General features: G+C 53.8%; 1 protein-coding gene across 12 annotated transcripts in view, besides 17 other annotated features; it reads left to right on the forward strand.

Annotated features, from left to right (window-relative positions):
* Positions 1-16333, forward strand: part of ATP11A (ATPase phospholipid transporting 11A) — a 197131-nt gene extending 180798 nt beyond the window's left edge. For 2 of the 12 annotated variants that reach the window (NM_001405661.1, XM_047430218.1), the window contains exons 26-29: positions 900-965; positions 2738-2841; positions 4941-5106; positions 10978-16333. In NM_001405661.1, the coding sequence (NP_001392590.1) occupies positions 900-965; positions 2738-2841; positions 4941-5106; positions 10978-11229 (588 nt within the window). In that variant the 3' untranslated portion in view covers positions 11230-16333. Of the gene's footprint in view, positions 1-899; positions 966-2737; positions 2842-4940; positions 5107-5643; positions 8672-9710; positions 9815-10977 lie in introns of those variants that run through there. The other 10 variants (NM_015205.3, XM_011537480.3, NM_001405663.1 and 7 more) reach the window with 10 other exon arrangements.
* Positions 1495-2694: an enhancer, noted in NCBI's record as "CDK7 strongly-dependent group 2 enhancer chr13:113526644-113527843 (GRCh37/hg19 assembly coordinates)". NCBI's record gives its function as "activates an origin of replication core promoter dependent on BRD2, BRD4, P300/CBP, MED14 and CDK7 cofactors, with strong dependence on CDK7, by STARR-seq in HCT116 cells {active_cell/tissue: HCT116}" and the evidence as "EXISTENCE:reporter gene assay evidence [ECO:0000049][PMID:35650434]".
* Positions 1495-2835: a biological region, named in NCBI's record as "CDK7 strongly-dependent group 2 enhancer GRCh37_chr13:113526644-113527843".
* Positions 1834-2335: an enhancer, noted in NCBI's record as "NANOG-H3K27ac hESC enhancer chr13:113526983-113527484 (GRCh37/hg19 assembly coordinates)". NCBI's record gives its function as "activates a minimal SCP1, AML or CMV promoter by ChIP-STARR-seq in naive and primed H9 embryonic stem cells {active_cell/tissue: H9 hESC(naive and primed)}" and the evidence as "EXISTENCE:reporter gene assay evidence [ECO:0000049][PMID:30033119]".
* Positions 2336-2835: an enhancer, noted in NCBI's record as "NANOG-H3K27ac hESC enhancer chr13:113527485-113527984 (GRCh37/hg19 assembly coordinates)". NCBI's record gives its function as "activates a minimal SCP1, AML or CMV promoter by ChIP-STARR-seq in naive H9 embryonic stem cells {active_cell/tissue: H9 hESC(naive)}" and the evidence as "EXISTENCE:reporter gene assay evidence [ECO:0000049][PMID:30033119]".
* Positions 2457-2506: an enhancer, noted in NCBI's record as "active region_8036". NCBI's record gives its function as "activates an Ori minimal core promoter by ATAC-STARR-seq in GM12878 lymphoblastoid cells {active_cell/tissue: GM12878}" and the evidence as "EXISTENCE:reporter gene assay evidence [ECO:0000049][PMID:35858748]".
* Positions 4397-4586: a silencer, noted in NCBI's record as "fragment chr13:113529546-113529735 (GRCh37/hg19 assembly coordinates)". NCBI's record gives its function as "represses an EF-1alpha promoter that drives an FKBP-Casp9 reporter gene in an ReSE screen in K562 erythroleukemia cells {active_cell/tissue: K562}" and the evidence as "EXISTENCE:reporter gene assay evidence [ECO:0000049][PMID:32094911]".
* Positions 8430-8574: an enhancer, noted in NCBI's record as "145 bp 13:113533651 sequence used in MPRA reporter constructs". NCBI's record gives its function as "activates a minimal TATA-containing promoter with rs1765871 allelic activity by MPRAs in C283T melanocytes {active_cell/tissue: C283T}" and the evidence as "EXISTENCE:reporter gene assay evidence [ECO:0000049][PMID:36423637]".
* Position 8502: a transcriptional cis regulatory region, noted in NCBI's record as "rs1765871 or 13:113533651 MPRA-significant variant associated with a GWAS melanoma risk locus at 13q34". NCBI's record gives its function as "allelic transcriptional activity by MPRAs in C283T melanocytes {active_cell/tissue: C283T}" and the evidence as "EXISTENCE:reporter gene assay evidence [ECO:0000049][PMID:36423637]".
* Positions 9686-9830: an enhancer, noted in NCBI's record as "145 bp 13:113534907 sequence used in MPRA reporter constructs". NCBI's record gives its function as "activates a minimal TATA-containing promoter with rs9577174 allelic activity by MPRAs in C283T melanocytes {active_cell/tissue: C283T}" and the evidence as "EXISTENCE:reporter gene assay evidence [ECO:0000049][PMID:36423637]".
* Position 9758: a transcriptional cis regulatory region, noted in NCBI's record as "rs9577174 or 13:113534907 MPRA-significant variant associated with a GWAS melanoma risk locus at 13q34". NCBI's record gives its function as "allelic transcriptional activity by MPRAs in C283T melanocytes {active_cell/tissue: C283T}" and the evidence as "EXISTENCE:reporter gene assay evidence [ECO:0000049][PMID:36423637]".
* Positions 10911-11055: an enhancer, noted in NCBI's record as "145 bp 13:113536132 sequence used in MPRA reporter constructs". NCBI's record gives its function as "activates a minimal TATA-containing promoter with rs1290177 allelic activity by MPRAs in C283T melanocytes {active_cell/tissue: C283T}" and the evidence as "EXISTENCE:reporter gene assay evidence [ECO:0000049][PMID:36423637]".
* Position 10983: a transcriptional cis regulatory region, noted in NCBI's record as "rs1290177 or 13:113536132 MPRA-significant variant associated with a GWAS melanoma risk locus at 13q34". NCBI's record gives its function as "allelic transcriptional activity by MPRAs in C283T melanocytes {active_cell/tissue: C283T}" and the evidence as "EXISTENCE:reporter gene assay evidence [ECO:0000049][PMID:36423637]".
* Positions 12227-12371: an enhancer, noted in NCBI's record as "145 bp 13:113537448 sequence used in MPRA reporter constructs". NCBI's record gives its function as "activates a minimal TATA-containing promoter with rs3742233 allelic activity by MPRAs in C283T melanocytes {active_cell/tissue: C283T}" and the evidence as "EXISTENCE:reporter gene assay evidence [ECO:0000049][PMID:36423637]".
* Position 12299: a transcriptional cis regulatory region, noted in NCBI's record as "rs3742233 or 13:113537448 MPRA-significant variant associated with a GWAS melanoma risk locus at 13q34". NCBI's record gives its function as "allelic transcriptional activity by MPRAs in C283T melanocytes {active_cell/tissue: C283T}" and the evidence as "EXISTENCE:reporter gene assay evidence [ECO:0000049][PMID:36423637]".
* Positions 14673-14817: an enhancer, noted in NCBI's record as "145 bp 13:113539894 sequence used in MPRA reporter constructs". NCBI's record gives its function as "activates a minimal TATA-containing promoter with rs1046793 allelic activity by MPRAs in C283T melanocytes and UACC903 melanoma cells {active_cell/tissue: C283T | UACC903}" and the evidence as "EXISTENCE:reporter gene assay evidence [ECO:0000049][PMID:36423637]".
* Position 14745: a transcriptional cis regulatory region, noted in NCBI's record as "rs1046793 or 13:113539894 MPRA-significant variant associated with a GWAS melanoma risk locus at 13q34". NCBI's record gives its function as "allelic transcriptional activity by MPRAs in C283T melanocytes and UACC903 melanoma cells {active_cell/tissue: C283T | UACC903}" and the evidence as "EXISTENCE:reporter gene assay evidence [ECO:0000049][PMID:36423637]".
* Positions 15244-15819: an enhancer, noted in NCBI's record as "H3K4me1 hESC enhancer chr13:113540393-113540968 (GRCh37/hg19 assembly coordinates)". NCBI's record gives its function as "activates a minimal SCP1, AML or CMV promoter by ChIP-STARR-seq in naive H9 embryonic stem cells {active_cell/tissue: H9 hESC(naive)}" and the evidence as "EXISTENCE:reporter gene assay evidence [ECO:0000049][PMID:30033119]".
* Positions 16334-17490: the final 1157 nt, after the last annotated feature.

Here is a 17490-nt window from a genome sequence, read left to right on the forward strand (position 1 = left end):
TGGTCTGGGCAGCAGCCCTTTCTGGCCTGTGCCTCGTGCGGTAGAGAGGCGTGCTGTCCTCACGGGTCGGGCACGCGGTCCTCACGGGTGTGTCTGTGTCTGTGCTGCGTTGCCAGCTGGCAGCTCGTGGGTCCCACTGACCTTCCCTCCTCCACGGCCACCTGGGCACCACTGCTGGCGGATCTGTGGTTCTGGCCGCACGCGGGGCAGCCTCTGTCCAGCCCTGTCCTGTCTGCCGGCTTGTCTTCTCTGTCCTGAGGGAGGTTCCCCGAGGGAAGCCCCCAGGCTTCCCCCTCTGCATGGGTGCCTGGGGTGTTTCCTCTGCATTTACTCGCAGAACGTTCCCGCCGCTGTTCTTCAACAGCAGGCAGGAGTCTGAGCTGAGTTCAGAAGGGAACAGACACAGTCTGTGAGTTTGTTCCTGAAACCCGTGGAATGTAGCTGGGTACTCAGGCAACTGTCTTTTCTACGTAAAACACAAAACAGAAAAAGGAGGTTTGCGTGTACCCGAGTTTGCATTATGGATATTTAAATGCCAGCTGTGAGGGAGTTTTTGTGCTCAGTTTGAGACCTTGGGACGTCTGTTGTGGCTGAGAGCATTGAGCAGGGCCAGCGTCAGGAGCGGGCAGCAAGTTGCAGATAGGCAGGCTCTGAGCCCATCACCAAGCCACAGAACTGGTGGTGGGAGATGCAGCCGGGAAATGGGGGCGTCCTGCCGTGCTCTGGGGAGTTGCTGCATCTTCTTTTACGGGATAATAAGAAAATATAGTGCTTATATCTTTGGGGTTTGAAGTGTTGGCACACAAGAAAAATGAGGTGTATTTTCTAAAACTCTTGATTGTGAAAGAGAAAAAAAAATACATAAAAACGAGATGACTTGGACTATTTTCCCCAAACAGATATTTGGAAACTGGACGTTTGGAACGCTGGTATTCACCGTGATGGTGTTCACAGTTACACTAAAGGTAAGTGGTCTCGCGCTCACGTTCCTCCCCCAGCCACAGTGAACCCCTGCAGTGTAGGCCTCACGCGCTCTGAGCTCTCTGAATTATAACTCTGTACTGAGGCTGGAAGCCACTCTCCACCCAGCCTTGGCTGGCTCCTGGGGCACCCCTGGGCATCCTTGTCCTGCTGTTTAGACAAGTAATGCACAGCCACTCAGCACACCCGGCCACCCCATGTGCAAACCCCAGAGCTACACCGGAGGTAACCTCGGGAGCAAGCTGCTTCTTTGTGAAAGAATTCAGGCTAGAATTGTTTTCAGTGGCAAGTAGCCCTCCCCCCAGCGCCATCAAAATACACTTTAATTGAAACAAATTAATGTATTTTGAAAAATTTCACTCTTTAAAGTTCAGTGAAATTATATACAGAATATATCATTATGAAATCTCAAAACCTATCAGACTGAGTCTTAAAAAGTGATACCAAAACATTCCTAAGGTGATTTTCTTAGATAGTGATGTAAACAACACCTGACTCTAAAGTAACTTTCTGGCCAGGCATAGTGGCTCACACCTGTAGTTCCAACACTTTGGGAGGCCAAGGTGGATGGATCACCTGAGGTCAGCAGTTCGAGACCAGCCTGGCCAACATGGCAAAACCCCATCTTTACTAAAAACACAAAAAGTAGCCGGGCATGGTGGCACGCGCCTGTAATCCCAGCTACTTGGGAGGCTGAGGCACGAGAATCGCTTGAACCCGGGAGGTGGAGGTTGCAGTGAGCCAAGATCGCACCACTGCACTCCAGCCTGGGCGACAGAGCGAGACTGTCTCAAAAAAATTTTAAGAAGTAACTTTCTTCAGTAGAGACATAAAGAACACCTTAATCTGAATGACTTTCTTCGGTGACGATATAAACAACACCTTGGTCTGTGGCCCGCATGCTGCCATCTGGGAAATACATCCATGGCTCCCTTACCTAGGACCCAGGGCTGTGGCGTCCCCACATTCTTCCTCTCCACTCACACTGTGAGGTGTGGCTTTGTCTTCCTGAGCAGTGTGAGGTGTGGCTTTGTCTTCCTGAGCAGTGTGAGCTGTGGCTTTGTCTCCCGAACGGTGTGAGGTGTGGCTTTGTCTTCCTGAGCGGTGTGAGGTGTGGCTTTGTCTTCCTGAGCGGTGTGAGGTGTGGCTTTGTCTTCCTGAGCGGTGTGAGGTGTGGCTTTGTCTTCCTGAGCGGTGTGAGGTGTGGCTTTGTCTTCTGGAGCGGTGTGAGGTGTGGCTTTGTCTTCCTGAGTGGTGTGAGGTGTGGCTTTGTCTCCTTAATGGTGTGAGGTGTGGCTTTGTCTTCCTGAACGGTGTGAGGTGTGGCTTTGTCTTCCTGAGTGGTGTGAGGTGTGGCTTTGTCTTCCTGAGCGGTGTGAGGTGTGGCTTTGTCTTCCTGAGTGGTGTGAGGTGTGGCTTTGTCTCCTTAATGGTGTGAGGTGTGGCTTTGTCTTCCTGAGCGGTGTGAGGTGTGGCTTTGTCTTCCTGAACAGTGTGAGGTGTGGCTTTGTCTTCCTGAGCGGTGTGAGGTGTGGCTTTGTCTTCCTGAGCGGTGTGAGGTGTGGCTTTGTCTTCCTGAGCGGTGTGAGGTGTGGCTTTGTCTTCCTGAGCCGTGTTTTGCAGGCATTGAGTCGTCATTGCTGGGTCTTGCGTTTGGTTTAGTTTCTCGTCACCCCCCGGCTCTCTGTCCTGCCCATCACGATCATTCTCACTGCTCAGATGACACCGTTAACTGCCCTTTTTTTTTTCCTTTTAGCTTGCATTGGACACACACTACTGGACTTGGATCAACCATTTTGTCATCTGGGGGTCGCTGCTGTTCTACGTTGTCTTTTCGCTTCTCTGGGGAGGAGTGATCTGGTAAATATCTGATAAGTAGCTGATAATCTGATAAATATCATGTGGTTGTTATTTTTTTATCAAGGGTTGAAGACACATTTTCCGTGCGGCCCTGTTGGTTGGGGCAAGTGTTTGTTGAATGGCTGCTGTGTGCTGGGTGTCGTGGGGTCCTGGGATACAGTCGGGGGCAAGACACCGGGGGGTTCCTGCTCCGGTGACTTGCATCTTCCGGGGGAGAAAGACGCTAACTGATAACAGCTTGTGACGAGTTATACGGAGGAACAGACCAGGATTCCGCACCAGGGGACCCATGTCAGATTGAAAGGCCAGAGGTGACTTTTCAGAAACAGTCATTTGAAACCTGGAAGAAGAGCGCCATCATCACAGCAAGTCCCAGCTGGTAACCGCCTCCCACAACGAGGCACTGGCCAGGCATTCGACAGGTCCTGTCTCACTCCATCCTCACGCCCCGCAGCAAGATGGGGCCCAGGCATGGTGGGGCTGGACCTTGCCCGCAGCAGCCTGACTCATCGGGGAGCCTCTGGTTTGGGGGAGAGCAGCAGGCACGCAGGCCCGGGCGGGAGGAGGTCCTCCGTGAGTGGGAGCCGTGGCCAGCGGAGAGGGGCCCGGACCAGGCTGCAGAGCAGGCATGGTGGCCTCCTGGACCGCCGGCCGTGAGGATCCTGGCTCGAGGCTGTCGTGGTCAGTCGAGGCAGAGCACAGCAGAGTTGAGTGGCTCTTTTAAAAACCCCACGGTGGCTGCGTGTTGAGCTGGTGAGAGCGACATAGGCAGGGTGGTCAGTCTAGAGACTGTCGCTGTAAGCCAGGAAACGACGCTGAGTGGTATGGGCCCAGGGCCAGGTCCCAGTCTCAGCCCCAGCGCAGCAGCCTCTGCCACAGCCCTCTGCAGACCTGGGGTCAGTAGCCGGCCTAGGGAAAGCCAGCAACCCACTCAGGATCCCTCAGGGCCCCTGACCTGGGCGGGACTCTCAGCCCAGGAAGAGTCCCTCCGGATTCTCTCGTTCAGCCAGCGGCCCCTGGTGGCCCCAAGTTGCATTACACAGTCTCAGAGATGACAGCCCAGCTTGGAGGGTGTCAGGCACCCTGTCAGCCCCAGAGAAACCTGCTTAGCTCTAGAGAGCCCAGCCCGGCTCTGGAGAGCCCGGCCATTCTAACAGCCCTGAAGGCGATGGCTCTGTAAGAGGAAGATTCCATCCCAAACCTCTCTGACCAGCTCCTGGGCTTTGTAGCCAAGGAGCCACAGCCCGTCAGCCTTGGTAGAACCACAGCCTCTCACATTGTTTCCTAAAACATTGACCCCACGTCTTTGATGTGCTGGGAGCTCACCATGTCACCACCGCTTGGTGATGAGACCCCATCCTCCTGCCCGCCACCAGCACCACGTGGGTGCCCCCAGCCCCATCCCAGGTCTGCCAGCAGCTGCGTGTCCCTCCCGTTACCCACCATGCCCTGCTTCCGTTTCCCTCCTGTTGTCCACACACCAGTTTCACTGTGCTTCCTGGAGCTGGGGCCCTATCTCTGTGTCTCTGCCACCATCCGTAGTGCCTGGGATGTGAAAGGCGATCAGGAAACGTTACCGGAAGGCACGTATAGACGTGGACCTGTGGGCTCGGGCTGGCTGCGGGTCACTGGTCCCTGCATCCTTGCCAGCCTCCCTCATGGAGGCTGACGCAGACGTCTTTGAATCATCCTCTTTCTGGGGAGAGAAGTCATTGCTTGCTCTGTACTGACGACCAGTGCTCGGGACGTCCTTCCCATCCGAGACTTCAAGATAGAAAAACATCCCTATTTCAATCCCTTTGTGTTTTGTTTTTTGTTTTTTTTTTTTTTGCTTCTGTGAAACTGAACTTCAGAGACTTCTATGTCCCATTTGAGATGACTTCATAGAATTCCTTCTCCCGTTCCTCTTACCCCAGCATTACCGGGAGGTTCAGTGTTCATTTTTTATATGATAAATTCAGAGCAGGCTCCGTGGCTTGCCAAGCAACTCTCACTGACAAAAGTGTAAACTCCCTGAACAGACGGCCTCTCCAGTGAGTAGAGAGGCCAGCCCCAGGGAGTACATGCCTCACCAGCGGCTTCTCTTCCCTGCCCCTCAGGCCGTTCCTCAACTACCAGAGGATGTACTACGTGTTCATCCAGATGCTGTCCAGCGGGCCCGCCTGGCTGGCCATCGTGCTGCTGGTGACCATCAGCCTCCTTCCCGACGTCCTCAAGAAAGTCCTGTGCCGGCAGCTGTGGCCAACAGCAACAGAGAGAGTCCAGGTACGGAGTGTCCCCAGCCGGGGCGGGGGTGCCTCAGGGCCCTGGCCTTAGGATTGGGAGATGACCGTTTTGAAAGACAGTGTGAAAGGTTTGGATTTCATGAAACGTGATCAGTTCAGGTATCACTAATGAGTGTCCTGACGGTGCATGATGTTAAACATCAGGTACATTTGCGATGACCGATGTCTAATTTTATGTTTCAACCTAAACAGTCATCTGAAATGAGACACAAATAAGAGAAAAAAGACTGATGCAAAAGGCAAATTATTTCATGTAAATGGAAACCTTTTTTAAAATTAATCATTACTTTAAAAGGTTGAATTACATAATTTTTAAGGATGGTAAATCTGGCTGGAAACGGTAGCATCTGTATCAGGAAATGCTGGTATTGGTGGAGCTGCTTATTTTACACACTCCCAAGTTTTAGGCACAAGCAGAATTCTGGGTCCAGGGAAGACGTGACGATGCCGAGTGTCCCCCCAGGTGCAGGGTTTGGCAGGTGTGAGGACTTAGCTCCCGGTCCCCCATCCTTTTCAGCAGCTGGCCTCTGCCTTCAAGCTCAACCCTAAATCAGAGGCAGTGACCACGACCCACCTCTGCTGCTTTACTGGGAAGCCTGCCTGTCCTCAGAGGGCCGCTGCACCTGTCACGGTCCCTCAGGACTCTATTAACAATGCAAGTTTTCAAGTTTCATCCCCGAAATTTCCAATCACTCCTTGAGGTGGAGCCCTGGACTGGGCAGTGCTGAAGCCCAATGGGGAAATGAGGGGTGGGGGCCCCTGGCAGTGGCTGCTCCTGCAGGGTGTGAGGCTCCCCAGGTGGGAGGAAGACGGGGAGTGAGTGGGGGCCGGGGCCCCAGCCCTGACTCACTCACGTAGCTCAGACACCCGGGGGCTGGCTCCCAGCGGTGCTGCTGTGCTGGGAGGGAAGACAGGTTGCCCTCCCTTGGGGGGCACAGCCTCACCCACCACCCACCTCCAACAATCAGAATGGGACCCTGGCTTGAGAGCTTTCTTGGGACATTGGTGCCGATTTGAAATGTTGAAACCGATGCCACCAGTTCCCGGCACTCCCTCCTTCATGCCTCCTGCCACAGTTTGTAAAATCAGAGCGAGCAAAACTCGTGGTGAAGAGACTGCCTCTCAATGTAGTGAAAATGTCCACACACAGCTCCACTGACTCGGGGGCCACAGGCAGGAGAAACGCAGCAGAACGTGCCAGTTGGCTGCTTATAAGAAGGTCCCACTGAGGGGCCTCTGTGCAGGAGGGGAGACAGTGGGAGCAGGAGCCGGGGCCCTGGCTGAGACTCCGCGGCCCCCAGTGCTTCAGGGGAAACTCACCGGCCCCAAGCAGCCACTCACTGCCCAGCCCTGCCTGTGGCCCGAGAAGCAGCTGTCCAGTGGTGGTTTTCTCTAAGCACGGTCCTTGGTTACTGAGCTCTTTAGCTGTGCAGTTCCACAGCGGGCACACGTGTTCATGACAGGGCTCTGTGCATGGGACACGTGTTCATAACCACATCCCATACATGGGGACGTGGCAGACACACATGTAACAAGGACATCAGGCACAGAAGAGACAGCAGGGCTGGGGGTCTGACCCCGAGAGAGAGCAGGTGCAGCTTGGGGGTGTCTGCTGGGCCCCTAGCTGTGGCCACAGTGGTGTGGCTTGGGGTTTGCACGAGTCTCAGCCCCACCTGGCCCCTGGGTGCATGTGGCTGCAGAGGTGCTTGGTCAAAGATGCCTGAGCAGGCAGGAGTTGAACTCGGGGGGTTAGGAGGGCCTCTCCCCGCAGGAGTCTGGGCTCTTCCATGCACTGTGCACGCAGCCTCCAGAGTCGGGGCTGCCGAGGGCCACGCCCCCGGATGTGTCTGACCACAGGCCCTCTGCTCTGCAACTCATCTCCAGGATGGGTGGGCACTTTGGGAATGCCAGTGAGGACCCTCCCCGTCCCACCCTTTGTTTAGAAGCCCCTGTATTGCTGTGGGTCTCTGCGTCCCACAAGAGCCCCGGGAATGCTTATGAACAGCTACACAGCGGGACCTGCAGAAGGCATAAAGCAGGGGGTGGGAGGGGCTGGCGGGTCACGGTGGGGGGCACCAGTGTCCGCCCAGAGTGACCAGAAGAACTTGCACGTGGTGGCGAGCCTCTGACTAACTCAGCTCTGTCTCTTGTTTCTCTTTCCTTCCCATTTCCTTCCGTCTTCCGACCGCTTTGCCTAAATCCTCACACCTTGTTCACACACCCCTGTGTGCGTGGCCGCTGACCTCGGGACTAAGACTAAGAGCCAGTGCCTTTCTGTCGAGCAGTCAACCATCTTTATGCTTTCTCAGACTTCCAGCAGCCTGAGTTTCTGATGGAACAAGGTGATGCTCCTCTGCCTTCCACGCACCTGGGATGGTAGACACGGGGCAGCAGGGCCATGCCCATCACCAGAGCCCTGAGTCCACGTGCTCTGACGCAGCGTCCACCAGGCGCTGGGTACAGCAGCCTCACGTCGGGAAGTCCCGCCACCACTTACACCTTCTCATGCACAGACTGATCATGGGCTGTGCTTTCCATCAGTCACAGTTAACCAGGGTTTCTCCCTCAGCGTCCGTGCAGCCTCAGAACCCACCTGTGTGAGGGTTCAGACACAGCTGACAGCGGAGAGCTGGCCACATGACCCCTCACACAGGTGTCAGAGGGGTTCCTAAGCAGGAAGGTGTGAGAGTTTGCAATTCACAGGTCATCCAGGCTCTGAGCTCACACACCCTTCCCTCTGCAGCCTGTAGAGCGTGGATCACAAGGCCTCCTCCCTCACGCACCCACTTCTGTGCCCATTCTGCAGCTGGAAAGACTGAGGGCAGCTAGGATAACACGGTTTGCTCAGGACCCATGCACATTTCAGAAAAGGGGAGCCAGGCTGAGCCACACAACTGGAGACAAAGAGGGGACGGAAGTGTTTGGTGTCAAATGTTTGACCAAATTCCCTTTTTACTGTTTTTTAAATGAAAACCTCATTGTTTTTCAAAAAAGCCTTCTATTAATAATTTGCTTTAAAAATGACGACCTTGGCCTTTCTGGGCAATGTAGAGGCGTTCACACGCCATTTTTCTGCGGTGGTGTCCATGATAAGAGCCGAGATTGCAGGGGCCTGCACGCCGTCCTGAAGTCGCGTTCTGTCTTTTAGCCGTGTGCTCCTGCACCAAATACCGCCTTCACGCATGCCTCCAAATCAGTGATGCTTTGAAAATGCATACTTGGTATTACTGTTTTACCAAATGCAGCTTAGAAAAATGCCCAAAGCAGAAAAAGGCTTCTTTTCCCTTTAATAACATCATCTTCTATATATTTTAAACAGGATTTTTAACTGACAAAATGGTCCTTTTTTAAGTCCAAGCAATTAATCAGAATCAACAGTTTTCTAATTTAGTGTCATCAGAATTTGTTAGATTAAATTGCAGAATTTCATCTCACCATTTCTGTACTTGAAGACATTTAGGATGAAATTATTAGGAACATTTTAATGACTCATAAGAGGTCCTTAAGAAACTGATTAAATCATGCCAACTCTGAGCTAAAAATAAGCATTCTAACGATTCATGTAGTTTGTTGAGAGCTGATTTGCTTCTGAGCATGTACGGAAGCTGAGCCCGGCTGCGTAGAGACAGTGGCACGGAGTTTCTCCTGCCCCCTGCGAGGCCTTGGGCCCCGGCATGACCCCCACAGACAGGGCCGGCGTCCACACTTGAACAGAAAGCGCCTGCAGCCAGCACATGCCCGGCGCACACGGGAACACGCCGTGGCGCCGAGACCACCTGCGTTCTGCAAAACTTTGGAGGAATAAACGTGTCACTAGTCCTCACGTGGGGCATATGTTACTTCCAGTGGATGGCTTTCTTTTAACCTGTTCCTACGGAAAAGAAAAGCATCACAGGCCTCAGATGTATATGTTATATATGTGCGATTTGCACATATATGCCCGTGCTGGCATCTCTGCGTATCTGCATGCAGTTCACTTCTCCGTCACTGTCCCCAGGAAGGGTGGCAGCCTCATCCTCTGTTTCCTACTTCTCCTCACCTGGGCGTTTGCCCATTCAGACGTGCAATTGTGCAATTCCAAGCCCGCAGTTCTTCAGCTCCTGTGCTTCCCTTATTCCTTGAATAAGGCTGGGCTACAAGATCTCAGTGGAGTTCTGTGAGCACGCTGGACTCAGGAAAGTCCGTCGCAGGGCCCTGGTAGAGCGGTTACTGGAGCTCGCTGTCTGCCGTGGAAGTGGGCGTGTGGCTGAACGTGTGGCTTCAGGATTCCAGCGGTGCCTGGTAGACCTTCCAGCCGAGGGACCTCAGACCCTCTGCCTCCCGCGGGTGCATGGCCCGTCCCTGAGCCTGTCGCTGTCTCAGTTCTGGGCTCGGGCCCCTCATGGGAGCGGCCCTGCTGGGACAGTGTTTTCCCAAGACGCCCCAAGCCCTCGCCCTGGCAGCTCCATGACACCCCATGCAGACTCCAACAGGGGCTTCGAGCCTCTTCCTGCTGGGGTCCCACGGATGGTGCAGGCAGAGGCCCGAGCACTCCTGGTGGCCCCGTGTGGCCCACGTCGCTCAGTATCTTTCCTCGCCTTGCAGAGGGGTGTGAAGCACAAGGCTCCAGTCCAGGCCGCACAGAGCAGCGATGGGCCCCTCCTGAAGGACCTCCTACGGCGGCCAAGGCGCAGTTAGCTCCACGCTAGGTAACTGTGCGGCTGCTGGACGCCGCCCGTGTGCTGTGACTGTCAGACCCGTTTTTCCTCCAAAGTTGTGCTGTGCTGTGCTGTCTTTGATAACAAAGGTTCACGGTGAGAAAGAGCAGCCCTCTTTACACACACATGCATTTGCTGTCCCAGGTAAGTAACACGCCTGAGGGCAAGCTGACCACACATGGAACATGCTGTGCACACACACGTGTGCACACTCACCCCACACGCACGGCACACAGCCTGACCAGACCCAGCATCGTCAGACACAGGCTCACGATCCTGGTCTTTCGGGGGACACAGCTTCACTTAAAAGGCCCATCAGGAAGGACCGTGCTTTGAAATCAAACGTGGTTATTGCATGGTTTGTGTGGAACTGGGGCCCAGGCAGGTGTGAGTGCAGGTCTTCTGTGTGCCAGCCGGAGCACATAGCTTGTCGCCTCTCCAACAGACATGGAGGCCATGAAGACATCTGCTCCTGCCAGCATCCGCCGCTGCCCCCTGGTCTAAAAGTGGGCTGACCTGGGGACGGCCCCTCATCAGACAGATGCGTGCTGCCGGCCTCCTGCCGCTCCCCTTGCTGGTCAGACCCACAGGGCCCGTGCACATCCGGGGCCCCAGTGGGCTGTCAGAAGCCATGCAGGCCCCATCCGTATGGTGACATCCTAGGCAACATGTCAAGGGGATGCAAGCTGGGCACGTCCAGTACTAAATCAACCCGGTCCCTGTGGGGTGGGGCCTGCCTTCCCTGGGGCAGTGAGTTCGCCTTTTGTTCAAGGGTCTCTGGGTACCGGTATGGCGTTCGAGCTCACTGCACAGGAAGCCAGCTACAGGGAGGAAGCTCGTAGGTTTCCCGTCCATGGCCTGTATCCCTGGGGCCCCTGGGTTCTTCCCTGGGATGGTGGGACAGGGGGACGGTCACTCTGTTGGTACTGAAAAGGAGAGGCCCTCATTCCTAGACAGAGACCCCTCGCCTCCATATGGCTTCTCTGGTGGGGTGGATCCCGCCCGGCCTGCCCTCAGGACGAGGGTGTGTCCTGAGTTGAGTCTAGCAGTTCCTGCAGGAGGCGATGGTAGTGAGTGCATCCCAGAGTGGCTCAGGTCACCCCAGGCAGCCCCGTGGGTATCCCTGAGACTGACCATGTGTCTCGTTCTCTCAGCAGAATGGGTGCGCACAGCCTCGGGACCGCGACTCAGAATTCACCCCTCTTGCCTCTCTGCAGAGCCCAGGCTACCAGAGCACCTGTCCCTCGGCCGCCTGGTACAGCTCCCACTCTCAGCAGGTGACACTCGCGGCCTGGAAGGAGAAGGTGTCCACGGAGCCCCCACCCATCCTCGGCGGTTCCCATCACCACTGCAGTTCCATCCCAAGTCACAGCTGCCCTAGGTCCCGTGTGGGAATGCTCGTGTGATGGATGGTCCTAAGCCTGTGGAGACTGTGCACGTGCCTCTTCCTGGCCCCCAGCAGGCAAGGAGGGGGGTCACAGGCCTTGCCCTCGAGCATGGCACCCTGGCCGCCTGGACCCAGCACTGTGGTTGTTGAGCCACACCAGTGGCCTCTGGGCATTCGGCTCAACGCAGGAGGGACATTCTGCTGGCCCACCCTGCGCGCTGTCATGCAGAGGCCATTCCCCCAGGCCTGTGTCTTCACCCACCTGCCATCATTGGCCTTTGCTGTCACTGGGAGAGAAGAGCCGTCCAGGGACCCATGGTGGCCCACATGTGGATGCCACATGCTGCTGTTTCCTGCTTGCCCGGCCACCACCCATGCCCTCCATAGGGTGAGGTGGAGCCATGGTGGTGCGTCCTTTACTCAACAACCCTCCAATCCGGATGCTGTGGGAAGGGCCGGGTCACTCGGATACCATCATCCCTGCGGATGCACCGCCGTACCCTGCTCATCTGGGAGTGGTTTCCCTGCGGTTACGTCCAAGCCCGCCTGCCCTGTGTGTTGGGGCTGGCTGAGTTTCGGTCTCCCCATCACCGGCCGCCTCGTGGAGAAGGCAGTGCCACGTGGGAGGACAAGGCCACGCCGGCAGCTTCCAGCCCTGCCGCAGAAGTGCCAGGATGTCCATCAGCCACTCGCCAGGGCACGGAGCCGTCAGTCCACTGTTACGGGAGAATGTTGATTTCGCGGGTGCGAGGGCCGGGAGACAGATACTTGGCTGTGATGAGCAGACATCCTCTGTCCCCGTGGAGGGGTCAACACCAAGGTGGTGTTCGTGCACCAGAACCTGTCTCGGGCTGACGGGGGTGGCACACAGGACACGGGTGGATCCCAACAGGCAGCACCGCACCTCTGCCCGCCTCCCGCACTGCAGCTCCGCCCGCCGGGCTCTGCGTCCCCACGTCCCCTCGTCCCATCCCCACGTCCCCTCATCCCGTCACCTCGTCCCCACATCCCCTTGCCCCGTCACCTCGTCCTCATGTCCCCTTGTCCTGTCACCTCGTCCCCACGTCCCCTCGTCTCCTCATCCCCACGTCCTCTCGTCCCCTTGTCCCGTCCCCACATACCCTCGTCCCCATGTCCCCACGCAGGGCTCTCCTTCGTCTTAGGATCTGTCCAGCGCTGCTCTGGGTGGGTTAGCAACCCCAGGGCTGCTGTGATAGGAAGTCCCTGTTGTTCTCCGTACTGGCATTTCTATTTCTAGAAATAATATTTGACATAGCCTTAATGGTCCTTAAAGAAGACATTTCAGTGTGAGATTCAGACTTCAGACGCTGAAACTGCTGCCTTTCAGGAAAGCACCACCAACGCTGGAGGAGGAGCCGGCCCTCACGCCCGCCCCGCGCCACGCTGTGGAACGGGGCTCCGGCAAGTGAAACCCAGAGGGTGTTTCCGAGGTGCTCGACAGTAGGTATTTTTGGAAGCTCAGATTTCACCATTTGATTGTATAATCTTTTACCTATAAAATATTTATTTGAAGTAGAGGGTAAATCAGCGGTAAGAACAGTGAACACAGTGGTTGGGATAAAATAAGGTGACAAACATCACACCAAAGATGAGGGTAGCGAGCAACTGGCTTGAGCAGACAGAACGGGGAAGACTCCACTCTGTCCCGAGGGGCCAGCCGCAGGCGTCCCCAGGGCCACCCTGCCCTGAGGTCCTTGTGTGGCCGCCCTGGCTTGGCAGCCCTGCCCACGCTGCCCCCGCAAACAATGGTGTGTGCGTTTTTACAGCCCTTTTTAGGAACCCAATATGGGCATAAATGTAACACCTGTAGCGGGGGCAGATTCTCTGTATGTTCAGTTAACAAATTATTTGTAATGTATTTTTTTAGAAATCTTAAAATTGCCTTTGCACTGAAGTATTTTCATAGCTGTTTATATCTCTTTTATTCATTTATTTAACATACTGTCTAATTTTAAAAATAGGTTTTTAAAGCTTTCATTTTTAAGTTTATGAAATTTTGGCCACTTTACATTTAGATTCTGGTGAGAGTTTTGACTGAATGTTCCAATCTCTGATGAATGCGAATTTTCAGATTTGATTTTATTCTCTACACACACCTCTTCTTTTCTTGGTATTTCTGGTGGCAGTGATTAGTTGAACAGCACATTTAAGGCACGATAATTTGCTACACTTTTTCTTTACAATTTGTTGCAATTTCATCTGCTTTCTATGTTTCATTGTTAATTGCCATCCTTCAGCCTTAAAAATAGAAGATTCTCACGTGAAGGTTTAGTAAGTTGGGTCCCAGCTCTGCCTGTGTGGAGATAGTCACCATGTACCTCTGACAACAAGTTTTAGTGTGAAAGTCACTAAACTTTTACACACTCCCAAACGTCTTTTTAAAAATTGCTTGGGAAATTATTAAATGAATGTGCCTGATGATTTGAAATAGACAAGGGGCACGAGATAAAAAAGAAAAGGATGAGAAGATCCTCAGTGAATGACGTTGCAGGGTCTTCATGCAATTTTCCACCTCGCAGTAGTTAGTATTTACTTGCCTTAAACTAACTTTGAAGCAAGTAATGTCAACTTTGAGCACTTTGTTGAGTTTTGAAAAATCTTATTTGTTGCTGCACAGGTTAATAAATTATCAATTTGTAATTCAGCATGTTGGTCAGAGACACGGTCACTGATTCACACCCAGTCCCTGCCACAGACCGTCTCAGACACGCACAGTGGGCCTGCTGCATGATTCACACCCAGTCCCTGCCACAGACCGTCTCAGACACGCACAGTGGGCCTGCTGCATGATTCACACCCAGTCCCTGCCACAGACCGTCTCAGACACGCACAGTGGGCCTGCTGCATGCGTGTTACCTGGCTTTTGGCTCCACGCTCACTCATAGCCATGTCCACATGGGGGCTTGCACACAGGATCACTCACATATGTACATGTACCCACCACAAACGTGCAAGCTCCTGCACACATGCATGCACACAAACGTGTACACAAGTGTGAGCTCCTACACGCATACACACACACACGTGTACATGCACCAAAGCATGTGTGACCTACAGACATGCAGAACATGCACGTGTACACATACCACAGACACGCGTGTGCATGCTCCTACACAATACATATGCACATATCATGAACAGCGTAAGTTCCTACACACGGACGTGTGATACACACATGCATGTACAGGTAAGCACACATGTACAAGCTCCTACAGGCTTGCTCTCACACACGTGTATGCACAGCAGAGAGACGTATGAGCTTCTACTGCACACATGCACACACACACGCACACGTACATTCACTACAAACGTGCAGCCTCCTGCACACGTGCACATTCATGTGTACACCACAAATGAGTTCCCAGACGTGTAAACACACGTGCACACATCGTACACATGTGAGCTCCCACACGTACACACAGATGCACATGGACACACCCCAAACACGCACAGGCTCCTACACACATGCACACACGTGTACACCACAAACGAGCTCCCAGACATGTAAACACACGTCTCCCACACGTGAGCTCCCACACGTACACATGCACATGTACGCACCACAAACACATGCGCAGGCTCCTGCAGGCGTGAATACACACATGCACACACATATACACACATGTGCCACAAACAAGTGCACACTGTCCTGGTGTCCTGCACTGCATCCTGCCTCCTTGCTGAGGGGCCCCTGTGAGAGGCCTCTGGATGGGCATGGGAAGATGGGCTCCCTGGCCCCCAGCCCATGCCTCCCTGGGATGAAGAGTCCCCCTCCTGGCAGAATGTCTGGGCTTTGCAGAGCAGGCCCCGGGGGTGAAGTCGCAGCTTCACTTACACCAGCTGCTCTGTGAGCAAGGCTTGGTGCCCTGGACAAGGCCCTTCCCCTTTAGGGAGGTCCAGCCTCGCAAGCTGAAACCTCCCCTCGGCTCAGCCCTATACCAGGCGGCCACAGCAGGACTGGCCACACCCACGCCGCACCTCATCCGTGCACGCGTCGGAGCACGGCCAGCCTTCCGCCACGAGCCAGCTGGGAAGGGCCGCGGCCGCCTAAAGCCCCAGTCAACCCAGCCTGTGTCTGAGCAGACAGGGCGAACAAGCAGGCCACACCGTCTCGAGGGAGGAGGCCAGATGCGGCCAGCGTCTCCAACAGGGTGACCATCCGCTCGGCTTGCTGAGCGTTTAAACAAATGTTTAGACAGGCTGTGGGGACTCCCCTGAGTTGAGCCTTGGCCAGGGGTCCGGTGCTGTCGCGGGAAACCTCCAGCCTTGTTCTTCAAACCACTCAGCTCATGTGTTTTGCACTGACTAGTACTGAATAATACAACCACTCTTATTTAATGTTAGTATTATTTATTTGACAACTCAGTGTCTAACAGCTTGATATGCAGGTCCTTGCATCCTACATTTCTTTAGGAAGTTACCCATTTGTAACTTTAAAAACAGGAAAAATATCAGTTGGCAAATGCAATCTTTTTTTTTTTTAAGCTAAAGGTGGGTGAACTGGAATGAAAATCTTTCTGATGTTGTGTCTATAAGCAGCCTTGATGGGATATGTTAGAAGTGTCATGAAAGTGTGATTCTACTTTTGCAGAAAAATCTAAAGATCAATTTATATAGCTTTATTTTTTACTTTATCAAAGTATACAGAATTTTAATATGCATATATTGTGTCTGACTTAAAATTATAATGTCTGCGTCACCATTTAAAATGTCTGTTCATTATGTAATGTAATAAAAGAAGGTCTTCAAAAATGTATTTAACATGAATGGTATCCATAGTTGTCATCATCATAAATACTGGAGTTTATTTTTAAATTATTAAACATAGTAGGTGCATTAACATAAATCAGTCTCCACACAGTAACATTTAACTGATAATTCATTAATCAGCTTTGAAAAATTAAATTGTTAATTAAACCAATCTAACATTTCAGTAAAGTTTATTTTGTATGCTTCTGTTTTTAACTTTTATTTCTGTAGATAAACTGACTGGATAATATTATATTGGACTTTTCTCTAGATTATCTAAGCAGGAGACCTGAATCTGCTTGCAATAAAGAATAAAAGTCTGCTTCAGTTTCTTTATAAAGAAACTCACACAAGTGGTGTGTACATTTTCTGCTCTGAGAAACTGTGCAGTCAGAACACTTCGCAGCGTGCTTCTGTGCGGGATGGAGGTGGCAAGCCCAGTGGGTGATGTGGGCCCTCCCTGGCTGTTCCCTCGGCTGCCACCCCCTGCAGGGATACCAGGTGTGCCAGGTGCAGGGCCCTGGTGCTGACTGCCCTGGATGCCAGTGCCTGCACAGAACCGGAAACACCACTGGGTTTCCCAACCTTCTGGTCCATCCCCACCACAAGCTCCTCCCTGACCTCTGCCAAGCTCCTGCCTGCCACCTCGTGCTTGGGGTCTAGGTGCCCCCTTTCCATCCCAATTTTCCCTCTTGACCAAACCCCAGGCTCCTCCAGGCCCTTCAGCCTCCTGGGCTCTGTTGGCTGAACCCAGCCTTTCCCACTCTGAAGTAGAGGGCATTCCCTGCCCCCTGCCACTCCCAGCCCTGGCAGAATTCTGGGTGCTGCCACGGAGCCCCCGGAATGCCCCCTGGCCTTGGAGGCCGTGGCCTTGTCCCAACCCTGACCTCACCCTCTCTCGAGTTCCACCCAGCCCGGCCGTGTCATACTCTGCAGTTTTGTGTCTTGTCTGGAAACACCAACTTCAAAACACCACCAGGTCCCAACTTCTGGGATCCCAGCTCCATTGGGGCACCCGGAGAGGGGCCTTGGGGTGGATCCTAGAGCATCCCTGGTGGCTGGTGCCTGAGTCCCGCCTGGCTACATCTCCTCTCCCTGCTCAGCCACCTGCTTCCCATGGAGTCTCAGCTCAGGGCCACGTGGGAAACACCCCGGGAGGGGACAGAGGGCCCCTGGCTCGCAGGCTGGAATTCTAAACATGGGACTTTTTCTGGCTCCTGAACGCCACAAAGTCGGGGGTACTTTTCACAGGCAGTGCTCCGAAGGCATCTGTGGGGTGAATGAACCTACAGCTGCCCTGGATTCTCTCCGAAATGCTTTCCTCTCGTTCCCTGGATTCTCAGCATCTTCATGTGGGCTTACCTTTACCTTTCCAGCTCGTAACCCTGAAGCCATCTTCCGTACAGCTGTCTCTTCCTCTTGTAGCAGGAAAACAGATAATGCTGTGATTTTGCGGGTCATGGGGAGAAGAGGGGAGGGGCAGAGCAGGCTGGTCCCAGGGGGCGGCACT

This window comes from Homo sapiens, chromosome 13 (assembly GCF_000001405.40).
Source record: "Homo sapiens chromosome 13, GRCh38.p14 Primary Assembly".
NCBI classification, from domain to species: Eukaryota; Metazoa; Chordata; class Mammalia; order Primates; family Hominidae; genus Homo; species Homo sapiens.